Source organism: Homo sapiens, chromosome 12 (genome assembly GCF_000001405.40).
Source record: "Homo sapiens chromosome 12, GRCh38.p14 Primary Assembly".
Classification (NCBI taxonomy): Eukaryota; Metazoa; Chordata; class Mammalia; order Primates; family Hominidae; genus Homo; species Homo sapiens.
Window position 1 is genome coordinate 94,761,275 of NC_000012.12, and position 14,384 is coordinate 94,775,658.

Here is a 14,384-nt window from a genome sequence, read left to right on the forward strand (position 1 = left end):
ATGTGATGTCACTTTTGTTAATACATACACAATGACCATAAATTAAAATGTGTTAAGCAATTTATACACACCTACACACACATATAAATCGAAAAAGTGTCTCTAATTCTCTTTAAAATACTCCAGCACAAACAGTATGGTATATAGGTGTATGAGTCTTAATTTATACTCTAGGGGCAGTTGCTTAGCATTTGAAAGACTTTAACAAAAAATTGGTATTTCCAAAAAAATTGGCTATTATAAGGCTTCGGCTGCCTTTATCTTTAATAAACATCAGACGGTTTGTTAATAAGCATAGTGGATATTAGAAATTATTTTGGATGAAAATAGGTGTTCAAAATACAGTTATGCACTGCTTAACTACGTTTCAGTCAATGGACTGTGTAGAAACAATGGTGGCTCCTTAAGATTATAATGGAGCTGACAAATTCCCATCCTCCTCTAGTGACTCACAGCCGTCATAATGCTGCAGCGTAATACATTACTCATGTGTTTGTGGTGTTGCTGGTGGAAACCAACCTACTACTCTTCCATTTGTGTAAAGTGTAGCACATACAGCTATGTACAGTACATAATACCTGATAATAAAACAACTATGTTACCAGTGTATGTATTTACTATGCTATACTTTTTATTGTTATTTTAGAGTGTACTCCTTCTACTTATGAAAAAAAGAGGTTAACTGTAAAACAGCTTCAGGCAGGTCCTTCAGGAGATATTCCAGAAGAAGGCATTGTTATCATAGGAAATGACAGCTTCAAATGTGTTATTGCCCCTGAAGACCTCCCAGTGGGACAAGACGTGGAGGTGGAAGACAGTGAAACTGATGATCCTGACCCCGTGTAGGCCAAGGCTAATGTGTGTGTTCGTGTCTTAGTTTATAACAAAAAATTGAAACAGTAAAAATATAAATAATAGAAAAAAGCTTACAGAATAAGGATATAAAGAAACTATTTTTTGTATAGCTATCCAATATATTTGTGTCCTAAGTGTTATTATGAACGTGTCAAAAGTTTCTTAAAATTTATTTTTAAAGTTACAGTAAGTTAAGGTTTATTATTAAAGAAAAAATTTTAAATGAATATAGTGTAGTCTTAGTATACAGCGTTTAAAGTTTACACTTGTGTGAGTGGTCACATTCACTTACCACTCACTGATTCACCCAGGGCAACTTCCAGTCCTATAAACTCCCTTCATGGTAAATGCCCTATACAGGTGTGCCATTTTTAATCTTTTATAACCCACTGTGTTTTTACTGTACCTTTTCTGTTTAGATATGTGTAAATACACAAATACCACCATGTTACAACTGCCTATTCAGTATGGTAACACTTTGTATTGGTTTTTAGCCTAGGAGCAACAGGCTACAGCATATAGTGTAGGTGTGTAGTAGGCTATGCCATCTAGGTTTGTATAAGTACACTATGATGTTTACACAATGACAAAATTGACTAACGATACATTTCTCAGACCATATCCCTGTTGTTAAGCAATGCACGACAGTGCAGTAAGGGCTCACTTCATGTCATCAACAGGAAACTGCAACTTTCAGTGAAACAACATATAGTGAAACTGATTTTGCCACAGGCTAATTGAGATCAACAAGAGCTAAGTTCTTATGGCATATTTCTGATCACAAAAAAAATCACAAAACTTCTAAATAAAAACCAAAACATTTATAATATTAAACACTGAAATACATGTGAGCTATACATACATTTAAGTAAGGTTAATAAACACAAGGAAGATAATTATTTGCCCAGTTATTCCTGTTTCAGGGTCAAGGGTAGCTGGAGCCTGTCCCGGCAGCTGAGGCTGCAACATTGGGACCCATCCTGGACAGGATACATCCCCTAGCAGGGTGCACTCAGACCCACACCCCCACCACACACACCCCTGCCACACACACACACACACACACGCTCTCTCTCTCTCACTCAGGCTGGGACCACATGCCAGTTAACCAAACATGTACATCTCTGCGATGTAGGAGGAAATTGGGAGACCTGGAGAAAACCCATGCAGATGTGGGAGGATGTGCAAACTCCACACAGACAGGGGCCCCAGCCAGGAACAGACTTTCTCATCAAGGTGATCATGAAATGACACCGATTGAAATGACATCATTTGAGGACTTGCTGTATATGGATCAGCTGGAAATGCTGTACAGGCCACTCCGCCTTCTTATGACCAGGGTGTGAGAATTCAGCAACGCCAGCAGCCTCCATCCCTCCAGTCTTACGTTATGGAGGATTCTGTGGCCTGCGTGACTCTAAGTAAAGTTAGCTCAATGCTATGGCTACAACACTGCTGCTGCACAGGCCACAGGAGAGCCTTTCATGCAAGGTGTTTGTCTAAGCGGCTGAAAGCTGGGAGCTTGGGCCTCTCCAGCGCAGTTTACAGCACAGGCTGTGTGCCTGCTTGGTCATGCATGTTTGTCCCCGTAGCAGGATTGGTTTGAGAACTGCTCTTGCTTTCTCCTTTCACCCTTACAGAGGTTGTGGAGTAGAGATCTGTCATCACTGGAGGCTCCTGGTATCAACCATACATAACCTATTAGCTGTGAACCACTAAACTGGCTTAGGTCAGTTTACCACAAAGGCTGTGTATGCCTGAACTTCAGCAGTGATTATCTACAGATGGTGGGATTATACAATTCCAACCCCCACCCCCCAACTCCCTTTGTGCTTATCTGTTTTCTAATTCTTCCTATAATATGTATGTATTTGTACAAGGTGGGTGGGTCACTTGAGGTCAGGAGTTCAAAACCAGTCTGGCCAACATGGTGGAACCCTGTATCTACTAAAAATACAAAAAAAATTAGCGGGGTGTGGTGGCAGGTCCCTGTAATCCCAGCTACTTGGGAGCCTAAGGCAGGAGAATCTCTTGAACCCGGGAGGTGGAGGTTGCAGTGAGATGAGATCCCACCACTGTACACCAGCCTGGGCAACAGAGCAAGACTCTGTTGAGAGAGAGAGAGACAGAGAGAGAGAGAGAGAGAGAGAGACGGAGAGAGAGAGAGAGAGAGAGAGAGAGAGAGAGAGAGAGAGAGAGGTATTATTTAAATAATAAATAAATAACAAGAGACTTAAGTAAACTGCACAGACAGCACTGTCACCACCTACTGGCAAAAACAGAGAAAGACCATTGTAGGTGAACGCTGACTGCTTAACAGCAGAGAAGGCGGCTTGCAGTTAGACTTTTCAGTTTCCAGTTGTTTTTAACTTCGAAGTATAACATCTGGATTTTAGGGAGGGGAGAAGATCACTCCTCTTGAAGCATGTTACCTTGAAAGAGTTCTGATTTTCAAAAGCAAAATATAGTTCTGCTGACCATGGTTTAAGTCTGAGAGAAAATCATAGTCCCTGCTATGTATCAGTTAGATACAGTAAGTATCTAACTATGATGCCACCGCAGGCAGCAGCTTCAAATGAGAAGCCAAAGGCTGATCATGGGTTATAACAAGTATAAGTCATTTTAAAGGTCTCGTTCTTTGGATGCTTCTAATTAGGCAGTTGCCAAAACTGATGCAATCAGTAAGGCCATAATCTCTCTGGTCTTATGATTTCTGCTAAATTTCTAATGGGGACCTAAGAGTCCAACCGCAGTTTGGGTTCTATAAGCAAAGCAAACTCGGCACAGACACAAACAGCGAGAAAGGCAGCAGTTACGACAATGTTGCAACAGGCTAACTTCTTTCCAGGCTGATGCCTGGGGCACAGGAGCCTCCCTGTGTCCAGCAGCACTTGAAGTGTGGATCCCTCCACAGATGACCTGCCTGTCTCTCCTCTGCCAACCCCTGTTCTCCTCCTTGCCCAACCTCTGACACCACCTATCTCAGAAAATGGGGAGGCTGCTGCCCCCCAAATGCTCATCCTGCCATCTAGGAGCCACTGCCCTCAGACCCCTCCCATCCCTATTCTGTCTCCAATGGAAGAAACTACTACAGAAACACCCTCCCCCTAGTACCCTCTACTCCCCCAACCATCTCGTTCTCCTATGACATCCCTTATACAGTGCTCACCATATCTAGAAATTATTTTCACAATCTTTTTTTTTATAAATATGATACTTGCAATCCCTATTTGAAATAAAGGGAAAACAACACACAAATGCTTTTTACTTTAGGGTAGTATGCATGACACATCTGCATTTGCACTGGGGACCAACACACACACACACACACACACACACACACACACACGCACACACACAAGAGTGGGACCAACTGCTCTCATATTATTCACACAGGAGGCAAACAAGATTTTACTGGCAACTTTTTTTTTTTTTTTTCCAGACGGAGTCTCATTCTATTGCCAGGCTGGAGTGCAGTGGCACAATCTTGGCTCACTGCAATCTCCGCCTCCCAGGTTCAAGAGATTCTCGTGCCTCAACCTCCCAAGTAGCTGGGATTACAGGCACACATCACCATGCCTGGCTAATTTTTGTATTTTTAGTAGAGACGGGGTTTCACCATGTTGGCCAGGCTGCTCTTGAACTCCCGACCTCCAGTGATCCACCCACCTCAACCTCCCAAAGTGCTGGGCTTACAGGCATGAGCCACCATGCCCAGCCAGATTTGGGGGCAATTTTTAAAAATCATCATCTATTTGGGGAAAAGATACTTTAATCTCAAAAAAGAACATGCTATCAGAATGACAATGAACCAACTTAGCTTTGGGAGAAACTCACTTCATTGCATTTACTTTGTCATGGTCCTGCACTAGTTTGGGGATGGACTCAGGAGTGCATCTTGGACTCTAGTGACCTTCTAGGTAGTTCCAAAACTTCAAACACTTCAAAAACCAAAATTTCAGTAATTCAAGAACCACTAATATATCATAACTGTACTACTATTTCCTTAATATTTCTCTTAAATATACTCACATTTTTACTTATATAGTTTTGTTTTAAAAGGAGACTTTGTGTCACTTCCATAAAAGAAAAATCAATATCATGTGTCACAAATAAAAGGTAACCTATGAATAATGCAATAGAAACAAAACATGTTATTGAAGTCCAGTTAGACAGTGTTGCTGGCTGAGGCCTGATCTCACTGTGTAGACCAGGGAGGCTGGCAAGTGGTCAGCAGTGATTAAAGACCATCATCAAACCATGCTTTTCTCTTTAATAACATCAGAGGGATTGAAAGTAAATTGAAAATAAAAGTACTTTCACTCAAGGTGATACAATATTATCCAGTGCTAGACTCAGGTCACATCTAAAGTCATCTCCAGTGGTTCATATCCCACTCTTAGAGTAACAAGAATCATGATACTTTGGTGCATGAATATTGCTAATTCATCCAGCCATTTGACACATTTATTGAGCATCTACTACACTCCGAGCACTGTACACAACAGAAGAAGGAATGAATAAAACAGGCATGGTATTTCTTGCAAACCTTCCAGTGGTGAAACATACATTAAACAAATGGTTACACAAATTATATTTGTGTATATTTGTGTTGTTTTACATACATGTAAGCATACTGTGTGCATATATCTGATATACATATTATATATATGTGTGTGTCTATATGCATCAATTTGGTAAGTGGTTTTGTTTGTTTTGAGATGGAATCTTGCTCTGTTGCCCAGGCTGGAGTGCAGTGACACAATCTTGGCTCACTGCAACCTCCGCTTCCCAGGTCCAAGTGATTCTCCTGCCTCAGCCTCCTGAGTAGCTGGTACTATGGTTGTGTGCCACCACGCCCAGCTAATTCTTTGTATTTCTAGTAGAGATGGGGTTTCACCATGTTGGCCAGGCTGGTCTCGAACACCTGACCTCAAGCAATCTGCCTGCATCAGCCTCCCAAAATGCTGGGATTATAGGTGTGAGCCACCATGCCCAGCCCAATTTGGTAAGTGTTGTAAAGGAAAAATACGAGACGTTATGGCATGGTTTCACAGTAAGACCGTCTTTAGGTAAGGGGCCAGTAAAGACATATAGATAGGAGGATGTAACAATTAAACTGAAGCCTAAAGGTAAACAAACTTTAGCATGTTGAAAGGGTGGGTAACCTCCACACAGAGGTAATGATGTAGAAAAGGTTTGGTTCCTTTGGGGAACTGGAAGAAAGATATGTGCTGAGAGGGCAGCAAGCAAGAGGAGGGTGGAATCAGTGGGCAGGGGGTGGGACAGGGGTGGCGGGGGGGAAGCAGTCTCCTAACCTTTGCCTAAAGGGACCAGAAACTTTCTAGTTCTCTGTGGAAAGATCTTCCATCTTTGTATATCACCCTATAAATGTTTCCTAAAGAAAAATCTGTCTGTTGTTTTCACACACTAATAAATCAGTTCAACACTTTTGCATCATGTGCAGAGGAAGTTTAATTCCTCCTCCATGTGACAGCCTCCAAGTATCTGGAGATGGCCAAGTGTTATTCCAGAACTTTCCCTTCCAGGATGAACACCGTCAAAGTTCCCATGCTCCCTGTTGTCTGTGTCCCTCTTAAAAGGAAGGGTGGCTGGGAGCAGTGGCTCCCACCTGTAATCCTAGCACTTTGGGAGGCCGAGGCGGGTGGATCACCTGAGGTCAGGAGTTCATGACTAGTCTGGCCAACATGGTGAAACCCCATCTCTACTAAAAATATAAAATTAGCTGGGCGTGGTGGTGGGCACCTATAATCCCAGCCACTTGGGAGGCTGGGGCAGGAGAATTGCTTGAACCCGGGAGAGAGGTTGCAGCCAGCTGAGATTGTGCTATTGCACTCCAGCCCGGGCAACAAGAGCGAAACTCCTCTCAAACAAACAAACAAAAACAAAAAAAAGAGGAAGGCAGATTTTCCAATGTCCATTTGTGTTATGGGACTTGAATTTCCTTCTCTGCATATTCTTTGTTTCTAACTGCCTTTCTGGAAAACACCCAATAAGTTATGGTCAGGCCTGAATTCCTTGAGAACTAGGAAATTCTCAAATGCATGCCATCAAAAATATTTATTTCTTCTTTCATGTCTCTTTCCTGCACCTTGGAAGGCAAATTCCATTCGTAGAGGGGAGGGAGGGGGCGCTAAGGAACTTTTTCAAATAATGGAATGATGGCGAACATTCATCTATGCTAAACTCAAAGACATGCCCAAAGTTTGTGATAGAAAATTTAAATACAATATTTACTATTTGAACTGATGTTCCATTTGTGGGTACAGGAATGCTACATTCAGGGAAGGTGAGAATAATGCAAAATCCCCACTCTTGACTGCTGTGGCTACAGACCCAGATTCCCCTGAAGTGAGGGCAGGGTACTGGGGTGGTGCTGTGTAAGCAGGGCACTCTGCCAGGCTCGGATCACACATCTCCTCTTTGAAACTGGTGTGGAAAAAGACACATGAGAGCTTCATGAATAATACAGCAGCCCTGACACGCTGAATGCACATTTCAGCCAAATATATGCACATTTCAACCAAATAAGTTGGTCTCTCCACATCCCCACCCTTTCCTCTCTCCTCCCTCCCTTCAGTGCTCTTTCACCACTTTCGCCAGATTTCTAGGTTTTCTTGCTGCCTCCTGTTGCAAAGTGAATTGTCCCAGGGAAGGAGGGCTAGCTTCCGGATTCCCCCCGTTGCACCTAAAGCCTTCTCCTCCTCTGCCGGCCTTCCAGCTCCCTGACTGCAGCATTGCCCATTAGGCTTCATCAGAGGAGGCTGTGTGTGGCCCAAGGGCAGCAGGTGAAATTCAAAGCAGACAAGTTGCTTCTCCGCATCAGTGCTGATATGTTAGAGGCAGGCAGCCAAAGAAAATGAATATAATAAAGAAAGTCTGGTTTAAGAGCATCTGTTGCTTTTCTTGGAAAATTCTACCCTTTACGCATTAGCCTGCCCATAAGAGCTCTACCTCTGCACATAATCGGAAGAAATAATATTCAAAAAAAGTTTTCAAATACGGGTGTAATAACAATGCAAACAGCATTAAAACTCAGCAGAGTGTAGTGCCGGACGCAAGGTTCTCTCTCATGGGGAGTGCCCCTTATGTAAAGCAGCAGGAAACTGTGCTGGCCATAAAATTACCAACTCCTGAGGGAAGAGACCACATCTGCTTATCTTTACGTTCCTTCAATGGTTGATGCAACGTACCGATTAGTTGTTCAACAAAATATGTTGCATGAATTTGATTCTTAAGAAGAATAACATATACAGGCACTGAAAATAGTTATCTTCTGGGTGGTAGAGCGAAGGTGATTTTTATTTCTGTCTTTGCCTTTTCCACATGTTCCTGATTTTCTCCAGTGAACATGAATATATTTAGTGAGAAAGTTATCAGTAAGAAGGAGATTTTTAGAATTGGAAGGGACCAGAGAAATTAGTCCAATTCTCTTATTCCTTACATGTGGAAACTGAAGCTCAGAGAAGCTAAATGACATGTCCAAAGCCATGTAGCTTGTTAAGGAGAAGGCTGAAAGAAAACTGAGGCCATTCATGTTTCTCGGCCTACTGCCTTTCTTCCCCTATACATATCCTTTGCCTTTCCTGAAAGACAGTTTAGGTGAGACTCTAATCTAATGTTTTGAAAAGGCTTGGACCCAATTTAAAAGCAAACTGTGCTATCCAGTGAGCTTATTCCCCACAGAAGACACTATCTTAGAAAATGCAAAGCATAATTTAAAAGTCATTAAGTAAAACATCCTCTGCTGCTGTGACAGCAAAACGTTCGGCCACTCCTTCATGACAGATGGCCCCATGCATTGACACACACCTCAAAATAGCCTCTGCAAGGAAGCTTAACATCCGAGAAAGGCGGAATAGTGAATGTCACAGAAAAGGGAGAGTTTGCTTGTGGGTTTGCATCTCCAGAAGTAAGAAGACTTAAGAGATATTTACTGTGGGCTCATCTTCCACCAAACTTTTATTGATGTGTGAACTTGAAACTTCTTATCATAAAAATTTCTAACATACAAAAGAGAGAATGTTAAAATGGATTCCATGTAACCAGAGTACAGCTTTATTAATCATTAACTTAGGGTCATCCCCCCAGCCACTGCCTCCCTCCCCATGGGTAATTTTGAAGTCAATCCTGAACATTATAACATTTTATTCATGAGTAGTTTAACATGTACCTCTAAAAGATAAGGACCTTTGTTTAACATAAACATTCAAATGTCATAATGCCTAAAAAATTGATAATAAATCCTTGATACAGCCAAATAACCCGTTTGTGCTCCACTTTTCCTGATTACCTCACAAAAATGTTTAAGGCTGGTTTAATTTGTCAGGCACTGTGTATTATCTCAGTTAATCCTGACAATAACACTATATGGGGGCTGTAGGTAGCCTGGGGGAGCAAGACACATGATCAGGTTAGAGATGTAGGTGGGAGCCTCACTCCCCCAGGCTCTAGACACACTTGACTTATTTTCTTTCTCCTTCAAAAGCCAAGCAGGTGCCTACTTCAGGGCATTTTCATGTTTATTTTTCTTCCTGGTCTTTCCATAGCTGTGAACTCCTCAGAGATCACCCCTGACTGCCCAGTCACTCTCTATTAAAATACCCTGGCTATGTTCCTCAAAACATTTGGTACTATCTACAATTCTCTTGTTTGTTTATCTGCTTGTGTTTCTTTCCAACAGAAGAGACGCTCCATGACAATCGGCTCCTCATCTGTGGAGCTGAGGCTTCTGTACCTACAGCCCTCAGCACAGCCTCTGGCAATGGTAAGTGCTCCATGGTTGTGTGATGCGTGGATTAACATATGCCTGCAAACACAACAGGTATTTGTTGAATGAAATAATGCACACACGCACACATGAGAAAAAGAACAGCCTTGTTTCTGCTGAGCTCCACTCTTGGGCTCTCAGGCACTTGGCCGAGGCCTTTAGCCAAACTGCACTTTTATTACTTTCTATTGTCAACGGCTTTTTATAACTACAAAGGCAGTATGTGTTCACTGTAGAAAATTTGGGAATCCACAACAAACACAAATTTGAAGATTCAAAGAGCCTAGAAATAGCCACTGTTGACATTGTTTTTATGCACATATTATGCAAAATTGGAGTCATGGGATTCTTATTGATTTGTGATCTACTCTTTTCATTTAACAATGTGGCATTAATATTTCATAGGTCACTTAACTCTCTTCTAAAATGCGTTGTTTCAAGGCTGCATTGCATTCCATTGTACGGCCAGACAAGGTTGTCAATAACACCACATTACGGGACATTTCACTTGTTTCCTTTTCTTCTTGGCTACCATAAAAAATAACAATAAACATTCTTGCGTGCTTATGCACATTTCCATTATTAGTTTCTCCAGATAGATTCCCATAAGTGGACTTGCTTGACAAATTGAAATACAAATTAGAGCATTTGTAAGTATTGCTAAATTGATCTCTAGAACAACTGCATCAATTAATACTCCCAGCATCAGTGTTTAAAGATGTTCATCTCCTTTTCCCTTTACCAACAATGGATGCTAATATTTTTTAAAAATCTATAACACTATAATCTATCTTTTTAATTAGATCACAGATTTCTTGCGAGCCCTTTCTTTTACTTCTGTATTACTCCCGATATATAGCAGGCACTCCTTGTGTATGGATAGATGAACTGCATGAATTTTGTCAAGGATTACCAGGAAAAACATTGAGCAACATGAACAAGTTGTCTTTTTCCTGTTTCAAGAGCTCTCCTGCCCAGTTTACATGCGCACCTGAGCACAGTCCTTCTTCCCTGCTAAACCTTGCTGAACGTCCTTTTGCCTTTGGTTTGGGAATGTTGGGCGCACATCCCACCAGATCCAGCTCTCCCTCCCATTTAGCTTCAGCAGAAGAGGTGGCAGAATTACTAATTTTAGCTGACATGATGTTTACTGCTGCAAGTATCACTAATTAATGATGTAACCGCAGAATAACAAGTCCCAGATTTCCCTTAGCAAAGCAAAACTGAGAGTAAACCCCACACTGGACCACTCCACAGCATCCGAGCCTACCAACTGGAAAGAGACAATCACCAGGGGCTCAATCTGACCCAGAATTTGTGCTAGGAGAAATTTAACCCCATAATGCCATGTTAAAGAGCTGCCTGCTACCCACTCACCCCATGTGCAGATCCCAGCTTGTCAGCCCTCAGGGAGCCCTCAGGGAATAGGACCAGGTCTTGTTTGTTGGTACAGCCCTGTGCCCAGCATTGCTTGACATATGGTAAATACCTATTAAACATCTGGTGAATACACAGACACCAAAGAGAGGGAACAGACGATGAAAAGATTCATGGAAGCCTGGGCAGGGAGAGGGCAGGGTGAGGAGTATTCTCTGATGTTCTTCATTGTCATCCACATGGAGTAGAGCAAATGGACACTCAGGGAAGAAACAGCTGGGGCCACAGCTGGGCAGCTATATAGCTTGTAAATTCTGGGATCTGGATTTGGTCTTAAGTCAGAAACAACTTCATTCCCTTTGCCTGTTCTATGCTGCCTTCCAACTCTAGAGAAAAATGTCTAATACCCTCCATCTGAGAATTTGTGTTCAATAAATGTTTATTACAATTTTAAAATTAAAATGTCTTGAATAATCAACTTATATTCCAGCTATTGTGAAGACGTTCTCACAGCAACATTTTCCCTGAAATGGCCCTTATATGCTAAAGTGGGCCCTATATGGTAAAAAAAAAATATATATATATGGAAGTGAGAACTATTGTCTGCCTACACAAATTGACAGTAAAATCATAGATTTTCTGGGCTGGAAAGACAGAGAACAAAATGAACAATAGACTCTCCAATGCATTTTTGTTTTTTAATGCACATCTTCTTTGGCTGGAGATAAGAGTTAACCATTTTAGTAACACTGAATGCCAATAACAGCTTATGTGCAAATACAGCAGAAGGAGCTATATAATTCATTTATTCATTTATTTGGTGTTAGACACTACGGAAACAAAAACAGTATGTTCCTCCCCATTCTCATGAAGCTTACTGTCAACCAGGGAGATCCACAAGCACTCTATCACAACAGCTAACAGAGGCCTGTGCCCACTGGGTTACAGAAGTGCTTTACCAGGCTTCTCAAGGAGGTGAGAAAAGAAGGAATTCAGAAAAACTGAGATGAAACAAGACTTATGCTAATTGAAAATATATTAATAATACTAACAGTTATCCATTTATTGAGTGGCCTACTATGAACGCAGTACTAATAACAATTCATTGATTACAGCATTTTGGGAGGTCAAGGCAGGCAGATCACCTGAGGTCAGGAGTTTGAGACCAGCCTGGCCAACATGGGGAAACCATATCTCTACTAAAAACACAAAAATTAGACAGGCACGGTGGTACGCGCCAGTAGTCCCAGCTACTCAGGAGGCTGAGGCGGGAGGATCACTTGAACCCGGGAGGCAGAGCGTGCAGTGAGCTGAGATTCCGTCACTGCACTCCAGCCTGGGTGACAGAGCAAGACCCTGTCTCAAAAACAACAACAACAACAACTACAAAAAAAAAAAAAAAAAAAACTCATTGAGGGGGAATCTATTATCTCCATTTTACAGAGGAAGAAACTGAGGCTTTGAGAGTTTAGTTTACCCAGCTCATAAGGTCCTAAACAAGAGAAGAACAATCTGGATTAGAGTTAAAAACTAGCATATAACAGTCATTGTCCCAAATGTCACTTGAAAAATAGGTGCACATCTTCTATTGAGTATCTATTGCTACATAACAAATTATCCCAAAAACTTAGTAGTCTAAAACAACAAATATCCTTTATCTCAAAGTTTCTGTGGGTCAAGAATTCAGAGACAGCTTAGGTGGGTTGTTCTGGTTCAGGATCACTCAGATTTGCAGTTCAGATGCCAATCAGGGCTGTGTTCATCTGAAGGCTTGACTGGGGCTGCACAATCTACTTCCAAGATACCCCACTCACATAGCTGTTGGCAGAAAGCCTCAGTTTCCTTGCCATGTGGGCCTCTCCATAGGGTTGAGTGTGAAGCCGTATGGCAGGTGGCTTCCCCAAGAGCTAGTAATCTAAGAGAGGGCAAAATAGAAGCCACAATGCCTTTTACAATCTAGTCTCCAAAGTCTAGCAATATCACTCCTTTAACTTTCTATTAATTAGAAATGAGTCTTCAAGTACAGCCCATGTTAAGGGGAAGAGAATTAGGCTCCATCTTTCAAATGGTGGAGAATTTGTGGTCATGTGCTAAAACCATCACTCTAGCTCAGACTGGAAACTAGAATTGAGTAGGGGGATCCTATCTGGAGAAAAAGGTTTGTGTTTCAAAAAGTAGTGGGTAGTAAATAAACTAGCTCTTGAGTGTTGAAAAAATAAGATGGTATCCACAAACCAGGCAAAGGAGGTTGCTCATCTACCAAGTGCATAAGTGGAATTTTTTTTTTTTTTTTTAGACAGGGTCTCACTCTGTTACCCAGGCTGGAGTGCAGTGGTACGTTCCCAGCTCACTGTGGCTTCGGGCTCCTGAGCTCCAGTGATCTTCCTGCCTCAGCCTTCTAAGTAGCTAGGACTACAAGTGTGTGCCACCACACCAGCTAAGTTTTTTTTTTTTATAAGATGGGGTCTCACTATGTTGCCCTGGCTGTTGTCAAACTTCTGGCCTCAAGTGCTCCTCCTGCCTCAGCCTCCCAAAGTTCAAAGTTCTGCATTACAGGTGTGAGCTACCACACCTAGCCATGGTGTAATACTTTTAGGAAAAGAGGTTGGCGGCTTGGTAAAATTCATAGTTTTAGGAAGAGAAACATGAAGTTTAAAAATACTTTTTGGTTATTAACTCTTTTTATTGTTTTCCCTGCCTTTGAGCAAAAATTCCTTTGAAAATGTCAATTTACTTATTAGATATGCCTTAAGAAAGGGGTTTGGGCTACAAAGACAGGTGGGAATTAGAATCTCTGGTGGACCAGAGGAAGTGGGGATGGTTGCAGGGATCAAAGGGAGGGAGCACAGAGGGGAGAAAAGGAAGAGCAGGGTCTCCTAGGTAAGCTGTTTCCACCAGAAATTCTCCTTCAGGGCTCTCCTTGGCATGTCCCAGACTTCTGAACATTCTGTGCTCTGTTCAAAAAAGGAAGGCTCTTCCTTTTCAGAGCCTAGATAAATTAGATAAAATGAACTTCCTAGCATAGAAAGCTGAATGTCAAAAAAATCAATTCACATGACCTTACCAATGCAAAATACAAACCATGAAATGGTCTTAACATATCGAAGGCAGCATTTGCACTGTGGAGAAAAAGATAGACAGCAAAGCCCAGAGCCAGCCCAGCATCGCCACTGAACGGAAAGCGCTGCGGTGGGGCCTGGGCTGAAACCCAAGCGCCATCTATAACCAGCTGCGACACCTTGGGAAAATTCATCTTTCTCAGGTGTGGTTTCCTTTTTGTAAAGATAGGGGTACTAGTAATTTCTTACAAGGTTGTGAGGGTTTAATGAGAAACGTAAGAGCTCAACGAATGTCAACTATC

General features: G+C 41.9%; 3 annotated features.

The window, feature by feature from the left end:
- Positions 1,245-1,294: a silencer, noted in NCBI's record as "silent region_4731". NCBI's record gives its function as "represses an Ori minimal core promoter by ATAC-STARR-seq in GM12878 lymphoblastoid cells {active_cell/tissue: GM12878}" and the evidence as "EXISTENCE:reporter gene assay evidence [ECO:0000049][PMID:35858748]".
- Positions 1,615-1,674: an enhancer, noted in NCBI's record as "active region_6797". NCBI's record gives its function as "activates an Ori minimal core promoter by ATAC-STARR-seq in GM12878 lymphoblastoid cells {active_cell/tissue: GM12878}" and the evidence as "EXISTENCE:reporter gene assay evidence [ECO:0000049][PMID:35858748]".
- Positions 9,247-9,806: an enhancer, noted in NCBI's record as "NANOG hESC enhancer chr12:95164297-95164856 (GRCh37/hg19 assembly coordinates)". NCBI's record gives its function as "activates a minimal SCP1, AML or CMV promoter by ChIP-STARR-seq in naive H9 embryonic stem cells {active_cell/tissue: H9 hESC(naive)}" and the evidence as "EXISTENCE:reporter gene assay evidence [ECO:0000049][PMID:30033119]".